This window comes from Homo sapiens, chromosome 13 (genome assembly GCF_000001405.40).
Source record: "Homo sapiens chromosome 13, GRCh38.p14 Primary Assembly".
Lineage (NCBI taxonomy): Eukaryota > Metazoa > Chordata > Mammalia > Primates > Hominidae > Homo > Homo sapiens.
The window spans coordinates 74,297,220-74,313,029 of record NC_000013.11 but is presented as its reverse complement, the minus strand read 5'-3'; the positions used below and the strand labels follow the sequence as shown (position 1 = coordinate 74,313,029).

General features: G+C 37.2%; 1 protein-coding gene and 1 long non-coding RNA gene across 7 annotated transcripts in view, besides 1 other annotated feature; one reads left to right on the top strand and one right to left on the bottom strand.

The window, feature by feature from the left end:
- LOC105370259 (uncharacterized) overlaps positions 1-15,810 on the bottom strand; it is a 120,734-nt gene that overhangs the window by 95,774 nt on the left and 9,150 nt on the right. The gene's annotated exons all lie outside the window — the stretch shown is intronic.
- The window catches only part of KLF12 (KLF transcription factor 12), a 619,957-nt gene continuing 611,131 nt past the window's right edge, over positions 6,985-15,810 (top strand). For both annotated transcript variants that reach the window (NM_001400153.1, NM_001400139.1), the window contains exon 1: positions 6,985-7,034. The gene's annotated coding sequence lies outside the window, so the exon portion shown is untranslated. The remainder of the gene's footprint in view (positions 7,035-15,810) is intronic.
- Positions 10,774-11,275: an enhancer, noted in NCBI's record as "NANOG hESC enhancer chr13:74875892-74876393 (GRCh37/hg19 assembly coordinates)". NCBI's record gives its function as "activates a minimal SCP1, AML or CMV promoter by ChIP-STARR-seq in primed H9 embryonic stem cells {active_cell/tissue: H9 hESC(primed)}" and the evidence as "EXISTENCE:reporter gene assay evidence [ECO:0000049][PMID:30033119]".

Here is a 15,810-nt window from a genome sequence, read left to right as displayed (position 1 = left end):
GATGATTAGTTATGTTGAGCATTTTTCATGTTTCTTCGCATTTGTATGGCTTTTTTTGAGAAGTGTCTATTGATGTCATTTGCCTACTTTTTGATGGGATTATTTTTTCCTTTCTGATTTGTTTGTATTCTCAAAGAGAAAATTTAAATTGCAATGTTTTAGAGTCTGAAACCTCTTGCTTAATTTTGCATAATGTCTGGTGTGAAATGAATAACATTATATATTACATGATTCTGGAAAGATTCAACAATTATGAATCTGATTACAAGGTGAGAGGAGGTTGCTAGAGAAACTGCAGAAGATGAGAAGCCATTTGAAAAAATAACTGTGAAGGGTCTCAAAATCCAACCTTCCTTAAGTTTAATAAGAAAGCTTCTTTCCCCCAGCCCCCAAATACTTTCCCAATTCATTCCAAACACCAACTAAAAATTAAGTTATAGCTAATTTAGTAAAAGTAATAATAATATTTTTTAAACTTTCAAAAAACCATGTTTTCTGTAGGACAGGCAGTAATAAAGAGGACTAGAAGAGGCAGATAAACATTCACACATGCACACATGCAGACACATGTATAAAAGAAATGGAAATGATTATCAACTGTTATCATTATTCTTCGCTACCTACGATTCTCATTTAGATAATAAAATGGAAAGTGAGGTTGGCATATCAATATCTAGAAAGAAGAATGAAATTAATGATGTTTAGAAAATGGTTTTACTTTTCAATAAAAATAAATTTTGCAGCAATGGGTAAAATATTTAAGCTGGGTTTTTTAAAAAACTAATTCATCAGTCCTGGGGTTGTTTCCTTACTTATACCCCAGATTCAGAATGTTAACTGAAATTGTAGAGAACTCCTAATTCTCTGTCATTGATTTAAAATCTGTCTTGTTTCATTTTTCCATTTAACAGAACCTTGGTGTATTAGTCAGGGTTCTCTAGAGAAACAGAATAGAATTTGTATATAGTATATAGAAAATGATTTATTTCAAGAAATTGGCTAACATAATTACAGAGGCTGGCAAGTCTAAGATCTACAGGGTGGACCAGCAGGCTGGAGACTGAGAAGGAGGCAATGTAGCCATTCAAGTTCAAAGGCCGTCTGCTGGAAGAGTTCCCCCTTCTTCCAGGAAAGGAACTGATTCTAGTATCTATATTCTGGAGGGTAATCTGCTTCCCTCAAAGACTAGTAATTTAAATGTTAATCTCATTAAAACATACATTCACAGAAACATCTAGAATAATATTTGACCAAATGTCCGGGTACCGCCGTTGACTACCGAAATGGATACATAAAATTGACCATCACATTTGGTAATCCAGATACCTGCTGGAAGTGATATTACACTTTTTATTTTATTCTGCTTTCCAACCTCTTTCTTTCAAAGCTCTTAAAATCATTAACATTATTGGCCTAGAGGAAAAGTTTGTGCTTAGAAATTGCCATAAATGGCATGCCTCAGAAATCATCTTTGAACTGCGCAATTTCAGTTACAGTTGGCACCAAGAAACACTAGTTTTTAATGTCTTGTGAGTGTTTTAGAATTTTCTTAACCAAGTTGCCTAGAATCTAGTAAAAGAATTTTTGGAAACTCTTATTTTTACATCACATCCTCTATCTCTGAGGCATCTCTGAAATGGTGTGCAGTCTTCAGGTTTTTTGTTTATTTCTTTAAGGATCCTTTAGCATTTGCTAAATTTCAAACTTCTTTTTATTTTTATATAAGTAAATTGTATTATTTCATTTTTATACAGGTGATGCTTCTAAAACCTTAATTTTTTCTCACTTAATAAAACAGATTATTTTGGTCTATTTGTAATAACTCTTATTCCAACGGTTTCTAATCATCTTTGAATTTTGACAATAATTACATGTGATTAACAAATGCATTCCATTGTTTTTTCATCTATGATATGTATGAATTAAGTCCAGTATAATTAATCTTGTTTTGAGAGCTTTCACAATAACTTTTATTAGGTTGGTGCAAAAGTAACCATGGTTTTTGCAATTAAAATTAATGGCAAAAACTGCAATTACTTTTACACCAACCAAATATACCCAGACACACTCATATACCAAAGCAGTCCTCAGAATTTACTGTGTTGAGTGCTAGCCATGCTGTAGCCTTGGTAATATCCTCTGTATTCAAGAATTACAACTGTATAAGAGTTGGCTCCCTGGAAATCCCTAGAATTCTTAGAAAGCAAAGGTTATGGGCATATATAAGTTTAAAGTGAGAAGATATTATCCATACCAAATCTCTCATCTTCAAATGAGCAGACTGAACCCTGATGATATGGTTTGACTGTGTCCTCACCCAAATCTCATCTTCAATTGTAATCCCCAGGTGCTGAGGGAGAGACCTGGTAGAAGCTGTTTAGATCATGAGGGGTGGTTCCCCTTATGCTGTTCTCATGATAGTGAGTCCATTCTCATGAGATCTGATGGTTTTATAAGTGTTTGGTAGTTCTTCTCTTGCATGTTTGCTTGCTCCTTCTCCCTCCTGACACCACATGAAGGAGGTCCGTGCTTCCCCTTCGCTTTCCACCATGATTGTAAGTTTCCTGAGGCCTCCCCAGCCATGCAGAACTGTAAGTCAATTAAACCTCTTTCCTTTATAAATTACCCAGTCTCAGGCAATGTGAGAATGGACTAATACACCTGAGAAGTAAAGAAACATGGCCGAGGTATAGGTTCATAAGACCAGGAGCCAGTGATTTGGATAGCCTTCCTTGCTCTGTTTCTGAGTTGAAGACTGGCAAGTTAGTTAATTAGGTGGCACTACAGCCTTTTTACTTTAAAATGACAGTTTTGTACCTCGTAGGGAAGATGTGTCTAATGAGTCAACTTTAAAACAATTTCACTTACCTAGAAAATAAAAATAATTGAATATGTGCCAGTGTGAAAAGTAGGAAAATGATAGCTAAACTCTTTCCTGCCAGTGCTTTGCTAATCTTTTGCTAATTATTCATTATTCTTGAGCCTCAGTTTCCTCTTTAGAGAAATCAAAACTGATAAGTAATACCTGATTAGTTTTTTCTGGCATTTACCCACTAAGAATGTAATGGCAATATAAATACATAAAAACACAAGCTGAGTATCTGGTAACCATTTTCAGAATTTGATCATCCCATATAGAAAGTTAGAAGATACTATGTGAAAAAATAGACTATCTTGTGTGAATTTCTGTACAATTTTTATTTTAAACTATTTCATGTAAATTTCTATGCCAATTATATTTACTTTCAAACAAGCTTCTCCAGTGACAAAAAAGTGATCATGATATATATATATATATTATATATAATATGGATACATACACACTTGCATTACATATACAGTAAGACTCTTCAACTTGATCTATAAATATGACAATATTTTCCATGTAAAATGTTTTAGTTGATCTCCAAGTTATATAGACAAATATTTTGCATGTTTTATAGGTACATATGATAACTATACTACTAGTAGTGGTCATCATTATTCTACTGGGCTCATTTGGCAAAAATAGTACAAACCTCACCAGAACATGATTTAAAAAATTCAATTTTAAGTGTGGGGTCAATTATTGTGAGAGTAGCAGTTGTTAGCCTCAGCTCCAGTGAGCTTCATCTGCTCTTTATTTCACTAACTCACTCCCCTATCCACACTCTGCCTAGGTGTTATGTACTGAATTGTGTCCTCTCAAAATATCTATGTTGAAGTCAATGGGTAACCACTGGTTTACCCAATGTGACTGTATTTGGAGATAGGGCCTTTAAAGAGGTACTTAAAGTTAAATGAGATTATAAGACTGGGGCCCTTATCCAATATGACTGATGTCCTTGTTTGATGATGAAGAGATGCCAAGGATGTGCACACACAGAAGAAAGGCCATGTGAGGGCACAGTGAGAGGGCAGCCATTTGCAAGCCAAGGAAGGAGGCTTTGGGAGAAATCAACTCTGCTAGCCTCTGGATCTTGGACTTACAACCTCCAGAGCTGTGAGAAAATAAATTTCTGTTCTGGAAGCCACCAGTCTGTGGTGTTTTGTTATGACAGCCCTGGCTGACTAATACGCTGGATATGATCTTTAATATCATGAGTTCAAACTCTTCGTTTACCTTGACAGCTTGTCCTTCCAGCTCACCATTTTTAACTCCCAACACCCTACTCGTTAATAACATATCTTCTCTGTTTTCTTTTAGAGGCCCCTCTACTCCAGCTGCTCCTTCAATGTTAGTGTTTCCAGGCTTGCACCTCAACCTCATTCTCTTCACATTATGTACTCTCTCATTGGGTGATCTCATCCACATTCATGGCCCCAAAAACAATGCATCTGCTAATGTCTACCAAATGTACTGCCCCATCTCTGATCCTTGATTTCTTTTCTGAGCTCTAGACGCTAATATAATTGACATTTTTATCTAGATACTCCAACAGCATAAAAATGGAACTTTACCAATTAGCATGCATCCATGAAGCTTTTTTCTTCAATGAATGAACAACCCTCCATCTGTTTGTTAGGACTAAAAAACAACTTACAAATTATCCTACCTAGATACTTCCAGTTTATTTCCCTCTCTTGTTTTCTTTCTCTTTCTCTCTCTTACACACACACACACACACACACACACACACACACACACATACTGTTGAGTCTATAGTCTGTTTCATTCCATCTCCAGTTACTTTCTCTAAATATCACTACTCTTCTCCATGCCCCAAGAGGCTAACTTCTATTTACTGCAACACCCAGATTTTCTTCTCAGTGGCTACCCATTGGATTCAGTGTCTGATAACAGACCTTGCCCAGTAACAACTTCCTACTGATGTGGCTCCTTGGGTGCTTCACCTTCCATTGTTGATTCCCTTAACCCCATCCACACCTGTGAAAATGGTTTTTTCGGTAAACTCTCTACCATTACGCTTTTTGAAAGTGCCATCTGTTTCCTGCCGAGGTTCAACTGAAATACATGTAAGCTAACTGGGATCTCTGGTTCCAGTCCATTCCTATGCATTCCAGGCTACTGCTAGACTAATACAGCTTAGCTACAAATCTGATTATAGTTCCTCAATGACCTAAAATAGTTTCAAGTTAAAGTCCATATCCTTTAGCTTAGCTCACAATGGCCTCCATGATGTGTTCATATCTATTGATCTAGCTTTATCTTCCATACCACTCTTTCTTTCCATAAACAGAACACTATTTTCTCTTTCTCAAACAAACCATGCCTTCATTCCTCCTTGCCTTTACATTCTGTTTTCCTTTTACAGAATTCTTTACTCCCTCTCTTCAGCTAGTTAACCCTATGTCTTCAAAATTCAGCTCATATGCCCCACTTCTTGGCTCTTCCAGTCTCAGTTAGAGGCCCATCAATGTATATACACCTATCATATTTTTATCAGACTTTAATAGTAATTGTGGAATATTATTTTTCTCCCTCCTCGTATGAAACATCTTGAGGGCAAGGGATAGATCTTATTTTACTCTGTAAATCCTAGCTACAAAACAGAGAGATTGTGACTGGTTTATCCCTTCCTTCCTCTCAGTGGAGAAAAAATAAGAAAGAGTTCTCTCTTCTTTTTCTCTCCCTTTCTCCTCATCACTATTAGAAATGTTCATAAATATCTCAAGACCATAATCTAGGCCCCTGAATCCTCAGTATTACTCTACACAGTAAAAAAAAAAAAAAAGGATGACTAGCTATTCTTGGAGACCAGAGGTCTAAGGAACAATAGTAGAAAGATATTCCTAACAATAGAAGAAAGGTAACAGGCTCAGCAGCCACTCCTTCTCTTGCAATAGGTAGATTAGCCTCCTCCAAGGCACGTGGCTGAGAACCCATGGCTGAGAAGGGTCTGAGAGGAATAAGAGAGTATTTACAGCCCAGCTGAGTAGCCCAGACATGCACTAGAAACATAGTTCTCAGTTCCCAGCCTAGAGGATTTTTTAGGGTATTTGTGTATGTATTTGCTTATCTTTTAGAGACTAGACAGTCAAGTTCTTAGGAGAGAGAAGACATGAGATACTTTAAAAAGCCACTAATTCAGTCACTTTTGTCATCATTCTGCTCCTCTGTACTCCTAAATTTGAGAGAGACAGAATCAGAGATAAAGAAAGTCACACAGAGAGTGAGCGAGAGAGAAATTAACATTCGATAGTAATGTGACACTGTTGTCATTTCTTGAATGATGAATCTAATTGTCCAAATGTTCTACTTTTATAACAAGAGCATTTTCCCTACATCAAATGCTTCCCCCTCAGGCAGGAGAGACTGGTGCAGCAGTGGTGCAGGATCTAGCCATTGTCCTATCACTTTCACTCAGTCACTTAAAGCTCCTCACACTCTCAAATTACACACATGGTTTTGGTTTGTAAATCACCATGGTAATAAGCACGACATAAATAACTCATAGAGTTCAAAAGAAAATAAAACTAACAATGACAATGAATAATTAGGAAGTAAGGACTTTGTGCACTAGTTCCAATTAAATTGCTCAAAATAAATAAACACACTTGTGCTTTCTCAAATCTGTGGGTGCTAGTCCTCTTTGCCTAGAGAGAATAAAGACAAAATAAATAATAGAAAAACAGATGTATTGATTCAAATATAGTTTTAAAAATAAGAAAGATGGTCTGAAGAGTAAGAAGGGAAATAGCCATTCACAGAGTGATACTCTGCACCCTCAAGAAAAACAAGCCAAACGAAAAACAAGGCTTTTGAAACAAATAGTTTTAAGACAATAATTTCCCAACAGGTTAGAGTTAAACACAAAACTAGGGACTAAAGTGGAGATAAATATGCATAAGAAATGGTTAACAATGTTTTGTCAGCTCAGCCATGACAACATGAATGTAGAAAAAGTCTTTCTTTCAATATTTTGGCCATAGCCTGATAAAGAACCAACAGGGGTTTTCACACAGCACCTTAAAAGCCTGTCTTATCCTTGGGGTTTCTGCAGCCAATGAAAGTTTGTCACGATGATGTAATGCTCCTGAGTTGTGTTTCAGCACCGACTATGTGGTCACCGGGTATCATGCCTGAGAGCTAGGTAAGTTTTTGGATCAAATCTTTCTTTCCAGCCTTTTCCCCTGCTTAAACTAATTTCAGCAGAGAGATCATTTGTTTCTGGTCTATTTTACTATCTCTGAACAATTTTTTAATGTGGGCTGGGTTATCAGAGAATTGTAGAGACAGCTGGTAAACAAAATGATGGGATCTTAGAGTCAATTTTCCTCTGTTATTAGTGTGAAGGCTTTTACTCCCCAGCAATTTATCATCACTTCAGAGGAAAAGAGCAGCAAATAGTGTTATGTTTTATTTGTTAAGGGAGCTCTAGTCATTTGACAAACAAGTTTTACTAGAGAGATATTTTCGGGGAGACGAAAAATATTTCTTTTTAAAGATTGACACTGAATTTTACTGATATCATTAAGTGACCCCCACTGAACTGTAAGCAGTGGAATAAGTTTCAATGTTTTTTATAAATAGAGAATATGTAATTCCTGCCCTCACAGATTTTAAACCTAAAAAAAAGAGAGAGTAAGACAGCACACTAATATTTTTTCCAATTTTTATTTAAGTTAAAAACAATTTTAAAAGGGAAAAAACAACTAAATATGTAGTGACCCTCTGTGGCCTGACAGTTATATGAAGTTAAATGAAGAAAAATTAGATATCAGTAAATAAGTCAGTTTCAGTACCTGGCTGTACAGATGTTTTCCTAAACAACTTTTTAAAATGTAGAGCATTTAAAAATTTTGGATTAGGTAACCAGCAAAAGCAACGGAAATATAGCACTTTACTTTTTCTCTATGGTATCCTCTGCAGATGTGGAGGTTTTAAAAAACTGTTATTGATATCAGTCAAGCTGTGGATTTCTAGCAACATGAAGTACAGAAAACAATTATCCAGATAATTCAAGATTTATGGGGGAAAATACCCTCAAAATTGTTACTGGGGAAAAGAGAATGAGTGGGGAGAAGGGAGGAGGTTAATTATGCATTACCAGCTACACTGATTGAACTACCCAGATGGTTACCATCTTTCACCTTAACTCTGACTGTATAGACACAGATTCTGAGAAAGCCATCTTAAATAAGCGTGTGGAAGAATTATCCTCGGCAATGCGGAATGACAGAAAATGTCTTGTAGAGTTTCTAATAAGAAAAATATTTTTTCTTGTCTTGTAGAACTTGATGTCTGATAGGTCCTAATGCATGTATTCTTTTATCAAAAACTTCACAACTCTCTAACTTGCAAGCTCCTTTTCTCTACCCTCAGCTGAGTTTACCAATTACACTTCACTTTCTCCTACATCTTCTTTCATTTTACCCTCCAATGAACTGGGCCGTCTCCCTACCATACTATCTAAGTAATAAACACGTACTTCACCCCTTACATGAAATTATCGTCCTTTCTTTGTTCCACAGTTAATTCATTTTTCTCTCAAATTAATAACTGCAATGCCAAATAGCTTATATTTTTTAAATTTTAAGTTAAAAATATATTAGCATAATATAAACATAACTCATTTTCCATTTTTACCCACAAATTTTCATGTCATTGCTTTGGTGCTGTAATTGATACTGACATGAGATTTAAGAGATAAAACTCCACATTTCAATAGCATCCTATGCTTTGCTTTCTACATCATAAGTTCTGAACAGGGAGGCAACATGGTTACAAGAAGGTCCGCAAAGTACTGCTCTAGAATTGAGTGAATGAGTGAGCAACGCTTCAGAGTGACTGATGAAGAGAAAAAAAATTTCCACAAAAAGAAAAACAGTATGGATAAGGTGGAGTACAGTGCAAACGATATGAAATTATCTGGTTTCTGATACAGAATTTTTGGATGTGGGCCCTTGGTCAAGGCTGAAAGCCTGTGCCTTTATCACAGAGCTGCAGCCAGTGTACTCACTAGGCTTGGGTTCCGAAAAATCACAGCATCCAGCTAGAGATGGAAAGGGATCAGCATGGAGTTATGCACCCTCATTAGCCTGCAGAGTGGGCCCTCGGAAAGGCCTAGGAGGAATCTGCTTGGGGTTCTGCTTGACCTAGGAAACCTCTTTGATTCTCACTCTGAGATGCAACTGTGCCGCACAAGACAGGATTTTTTAAAACAATGTTTTAAAGGGAACATATTGCTTAAGAAAAGTCCTTAGGGCATGATCTGAGCACTGACATGGACAAATAACGCACCCTTCTGATAAATCCTGATGACAGAGTGGGCCTCGGAAAAGACAATTCAAGGTAGAGCTCCAATTCCAGCATTTCTGAAACCAGGAGGATATATCTGAAAGAATACCTAGAGGATTTGTGCGTTGACAAAGTCTGGTAACGCAGAGAATAAGTTACTGGTTGGTGAAAATCTATTATAGTACTCTACTGTATACCACAAAAGAGGTGTTCAGTAAAAGTCATTCCGTTTTAAGGACAATCTCTTTTTAAATATTTCACTTTCCATTTCATCAAAAAAAGTATATTTTCATCAATAGCATCTTTTATAAACAGAAATGGTCTGAGCTCGTTTAGTTCTTTACCCTACCCATTTATATGATGGAGAGGAAGGCCCACTGGGGTCACTATTAGAAAGAAAGAATGACAGGTATACAAAGAAAACAGAAGTTAGCTATGCCCTCCAAGGTGAATACTGGGAATAGTGTACTCCCAAGATACATAGAAAATGTGGATGTGAAAGCATATGGGAATAGGAAAGACAGGAATTCAATAGTCACACTCGATTATAACTCCACAGTGAAGGTTCTTGGGGCAACTGCCATGTGCCAAGCATGAGATAAGATGCAGACGACACAAGAAGAAAAAGGCACCATTTCTATACTCAAAGAGCTTTCAGTTCTCCTTAAATCAAGTCTTGAAGAATAGGCTAGATATTGGTCAAGTGTAGGAAGAAAGTATGGTTAAAGGAAGAATGACCATACATCCACTTTGCCAAAGATGGTCCCAGTTTATGCCTCTTGTCCTGGTATAACAATCAATACCACTTGGCGTCATTTTCAAAAGTGTCCTGGCTTGGCCTTTACAAATAGGGAACGATTGAAAGGTTTAAAAATGAGTTTAAAAAAATGAGTTAAAGGAGGAAGACTGTTAATTCAGGCAAGAAAATTAGGAGGCCCTGACCCAAGGCATGGATCATGGTGACAGAGAAGAGCACACAGCACTCATTTCCCCTTTTCTTTTGGAAGCAGCACCCCCACCTCCTTTGGCAGAATTTCCCCTCTCCTTTTAGAAGGTGTCCCTGTGAATCAGAAGGCTGAGGGCTCCCTGCTTTCTCCAAGCCAAGCAGTCACATTGGACATGTGAGCAATGGGACACTCTCTCCTGGAATTTTGTCCCTTGAGCGGAATGATGAGAAAAGTGGGAGGGAAACTTGGCGATGATTCAGTCTAGCAGTGGGGACTGACAATCCCAACAAGCAGTTTCTCCAACGGAAAATGCCATAACACCACGGCCCCTGTCATCTCCAAGTCAGTTTCTTCAGTCTTCCTTTTATTCTGTAAGTTTCCTCATGGCCCTCCAATAAATATTCCTTTAGTTTAGTTTGGTTACAGCTGCTCACAACCAGAGAACCTACACTGATAACTGTAATTGCCAATATGCAGTATCTACATATGGAGGAGACAAACTAAGAACAAGTGAGGTGACATGCTAACCAACACTGTCTTTTTCACTCTGTATCTTATCCATTATTTTTGTAAGTGAAGTTCACACCATCATCTCCATCACTTTAATATAGTTTTTAAAATGCTGTTTCTGCTGCATTACTTATTTTCCAATCATCACATATGACTATATACATAGAAATGGGGTTTGCTTTGTGAAAAGATAATTGTTGGTATAGAACTTGGAGGTCCTGCTTCTGCCCCTGAAAGTTCAATAGCCTAGGATTTCTGTTTTCTTGCTTCTTACGATGGCCCCAGTGCTACCCAGGGGCTGCAAAAACCAAAGGCTAAGATTTCATTTAAACCCCAAACCAAAAACATCCTTCACAGATAGATCTTTTCCTGGAGGTTATTTGTCATTGAAATGAATGTCCCTGGGTGATCAGAAGTAAGTTTTTATTGTGGTATTATTCTCCTTTAAACCCTTCAAGGCATGGAGCTATGCCTCTGCAGTTGTAACACGGGAGAGGGTGCTGGGCGGTCATTTAACACGGGCAGCTCAGGTAGGGGGAACAAATGAAAATTGGGGCGGGCAAGAATACTGCGATTGGTTGGATTCCAATGCAGCGTACACTCTAACGCCCTGAAATATGGGATGCAGGAGTCTCCACAGATGCTCCCTGCTGCAGTTCTTGAAAGGCAGGAACAAATTTAAACTGGGTTTTGTGAAAACAAATGACATCATTCCTGCATACTCTGAAAAGCTGCAGCCCCAATGGAACATTTTCTCGTTTTCCCCTTTGCTCTTCTGTGTCTGACTGCAGGGCTTCAGGATTTTATGCTGCATGTTTAACTGGCTAGATCTTGCAGGGAATAACCTTTCATCACTTGCCTCTAAAAATAATAAAACTCACGAAGAAAATATAGAGGCCTGTAAAAGTTCATTTAAAATCACATTTAATCTCCATGTGGCTCTTATCTGAAGATATGACAGCACATGGGAAGAATTCTAGTGATTTGAAAGAAACAATAACAAAATGCTGTATTGGGGACTGTCATCATGGAAATTATGGCCCTGACTTATTTTGGGTGGACTTTATTGTACAGTGTTCAGTGCTGGTGATTAGGAGAACTAGGATTTCCATTTAGGGATTTTTCTGGGTTCACATTGTTAACTGCAAAAGTAATCAGGGATCTGGTACATTTAAGACAGTCAGCTAAGGGCCATATTGAAATACTGTTCTAGATGTACTGTTCCTCATTGCAGATGTCTACAAAAATAAAATAAAATAAAAGGTAGGTGAGTCAGAAAGTTTTTTAAAACAGCAAGTTAGCTGATTTTTAGAACATGGCTTAAGAAGCTAAGGCACTTAGAAATATAATAGTGAATCTTCAACATACCAAAACCTGATGGAAATTTTCTCATGAAGATAATATTTGCTTAATCATTGTCCTAAGCCAAAGGATGTCCCAGGAAGTTCTCTATTTGTCAATGTCAGTCTGTAAGAGCAACTGCTTGAATAAGTACTGTGAGAGTCCTCCAAGACTCAAAGCCTACCTTGTTTTCTCAATCTCATCCCAGGAACCCAGGCCTAACTGTTGACTTCCCTTAAATCAGCTTCCAGAGATAATTCTGAAAACTACTTATCTTTATTGCAAATGATTATTAAAATCTTTACAATTCAAATTTCCTCAATATTACTATCAGATGGCAAACAGAAAATTAATCTCAAACTGCAAGGATGAATTTTATATAAAAAGCTATACGCGATGACTTCTAGACTAAGCCCTGGGCATGACATCTTTTACTCCTCAAACTTGCAGTGATCTATTTAGGAAGCAGTGGCAAGGTGATGGTTGTCTCTCTCATTGAAATGAAACCAGCCCAGAGACAGATTTAAAGAGAAATGAAGAAACAAGTCCATCCACCCACCCCTACCACACCTTCTTTGAACATGAATTTTACAGCTTTGTCCTTGATTCTTGCTTCTATATAATCTCTTTGACCTTCAAACCTTAGAGGTCATCTTTAACAACCCCATTCTTGTTCATGTTATTATGAATTAAACAATGGCTACTGTGTAGAACCAAAGACAGAAATATGCCAGCAATCAAGAACAATCTCTAAAACAAATAGAGATAGATGTATGAGTCAGGAAGCCAATAGACTATTTGATTAAATAAACACTTTTTTTTATTATCAAGGATGATAGCATTTTTTATTGCCCTCTTGTTGAAATTCCCCTCTCATTCTAAAAGAAAATTTTAAAATATTTTTTCTGCGTAAGTTCCTCTATTCAATTATCTGAATTTTTTTAAAGATGCCCAATTAGCTCCTCTCATAGGATAAAAGGTGATTTCCCCTTTTTACAATGGTTTTTTTTTCCATTAGGGATACTCTTTACATACAGGGAGTCTGCTTTCTACGTCCCAGGCTGGGAAAAAGAGAAGTGAAAACTTTTCAGCATTTCTCTACTTCTTTCTGAACTTCCAGAAGCCTCTCCTCTTCCTCTTTCTTATTTTGTCTTTCTTTCTCCTTTCCTGAACTGCTGGCGCTGAAGAAACAGAGCTAGAGGCTTGGGGATGCAGTGGCTGCTTGGGCCCTCCATTGGCCCAAATAATACTTGAGCCTTAAAAAAGGAGAAGAAGAAATAGAAAATAGGAACACTACTTGAAAATTTTTTAGTTCTGCTTCCTCTGCTTTAAATTCACTCCCTGGCATGCCCATGCTGCAAGTTTTTCATCAAAACTCTCTATGGCAGTTCTTCAAAAAATATGTCTTATTAGCCCTTAACGCTAGGAAAGTTTATAAAAAGGGGGGAAAGTATTAAGAGATGTAAAGAAACCTGAATTCCATTTGCTTCTGTTGATCATTGCTGTGTAACCTAAGTCAGGTTGATATTATTTGAAAAACAGTGGAAAATCTACAATTAATGAAATCTGCCCCAAATTTGATAGAAAATATTGCCACAAAACTGACAAAATTGTGTATATCCACTCCAATTTATGAAGTAAGCAAATAAAAAATATTGTGAAAGCATATATAGGGTGAAAGGACAGAAAGTCACCAGCAAAGCCTGAGCCAGGTCACATTGCTCTTCCACTCAGAATTTCCCAGTGGCTTCCTGTCTCTCAGAGAATGTCCAGTGCTCTTGCAAAGGTCTGCATTTCTTTCTGTACTCTACTCCACCTTCCTGTCAGACCTCCACTTCTCCCCGCTCTTTCTCATTCACTCAATTCCAGACATACTAAACATGCTGCTATTTATTGAACCGCCCAAAACATGTGTCAGCCTCAGGGCCTTTGCATAAACCAATTCCCATACCTGGAACAGTGTTCCTGCAGATGGGCCTATGTGGGCACCCGCATTTCCTTCAGATCTTGAATTTCTGTCTGCCATGGTCCTACTTACCCATTGCATTGGTTTTTCTTTCCTTGTTGAGAATTCCGTTCTTTGAGGTTGCTCTAACTGTAATCTTTGGACAAATATAGTAGACTGAGGGCCCTCATGGAATTGAATTCTCACAACGCTGTTTGAGCACAGGAGTCCCTGGTTTCAATTAGTCATGTAAAATGTGTGCTTCAAAACAAGCCAACTTCTTCCCTTCCTTAAGAGTAATATATTAAGAAGCAGGAATATGCTAAATACAGAGCTAAATGTTAATCTATTTTTCCCATGTTTCCGTATTTTTAATGCTTCTTTATTCTTAGGCATAAAACTCTTTTTATAGTGCTCTAAATTTCTAAAGAATTTAAGACATTATACTTCTCCAGCCTCTATAACTTCAAAATCTACCACTTGCTGATAAAACCCTGCCATTTTAGCCTCTCTTCTTTTTTCCTACTCCTAACTCCCATATGGGTCTGAAATCTGTATATTAATATAAACACTACTGCTCAATAGAACTTTCTGCAACAATGGAGGCATTCTGTATCTGCCCTGTTCAATACAGAAACCGCTAGCCACATGTGGCTGTGGAGCATTTGAAACGCAGAACAACTTTTTAATTTCTAGAAGGGCATCTTTAATGAAGCTAAAGTTCACCTACCAAACATGGGAACAGCAGATGACACCTGCCCAATTTCACAGTCTACTTCTATATCCATCTGCAACCCCATGTTCCTTTCTTCTCCCTGACACACAATTTATTACTTACCCAATGTCTTTCAGGCAAATTCCTCTGAAAAGTATTTAAATGCCATAAAACTACTTTGACAGCCAACTCTCAGGCATCTGTAGTGACAGAGTATGTATGTTTATCAACAATATAATAAAACCAGGGCTTCACATTAACTTTGGGTTTAGAATCTCCTACATTGACTCTGCTACCAGAATAGCAGAATATATTTCATTTCATTTCTCTTGACCACACCGTACAGGCGATTGTAGACCTTGATTTCCAGTCGGAACGATTCAGAAGAGAAAGAGTCAATGAAATAGAGACATTCATAATGTGATTTCTGAAACATCACAAATGTTTGATTACATAAAATATAAATTCTCCCATTTTCCTCAATGAATTCTTATTACCTATGATAATTTGACATTACATAAAAATTAACAGTGTTCTTAGAAATACTGTGGAGAAAATACAAGATTTCAAGTTTGTCCAAAGGAATTCACTCAACATATGTTTAAGATGCTATACAGAATGTATTCGATTTTAAATTTTTCTTTCTTTATAATTATAGAAATCTCTGTATAACATGGGCCATACCAATGTTTTATTTATCTTTGCCTCTTTATTTCTAGGTAGGATTTTGTTTGTTACTCTCTTGACATTGTATCTGCACAAAGTTGCTACAGTGGTGCTACATCAGTGAGTAAGATATTAGCTCCCAGCTAGACAAAATCTATCAAAAGCCCAGGGGGCAAAATACAGCTGCCCACAGTTCCACAGTACCTATAGAGACACTTCAAGCTTGTGCTTCCTATTTTGCAGATTACTGTTTTTGAGATACTTCCTGAACAAAGCAAATTGAACAAACAGTAACTACTATTCCAGGAGAGTCAGAATACACAGTGACATATTAAAGGTTCGGAGAAGTCCAGTAGAAAAGAAATCTGCTGGAATTTTTTAAACCCAGTGTTTCTGTATATATTTGGCCTTAAAACACTATTTTCTCACCTGACATCTCTTAATAGGCCCTGCAACTAGTGCTCCAGGGAATACACTGAGAAATCCTGTCTAGGCATTAAGCTAT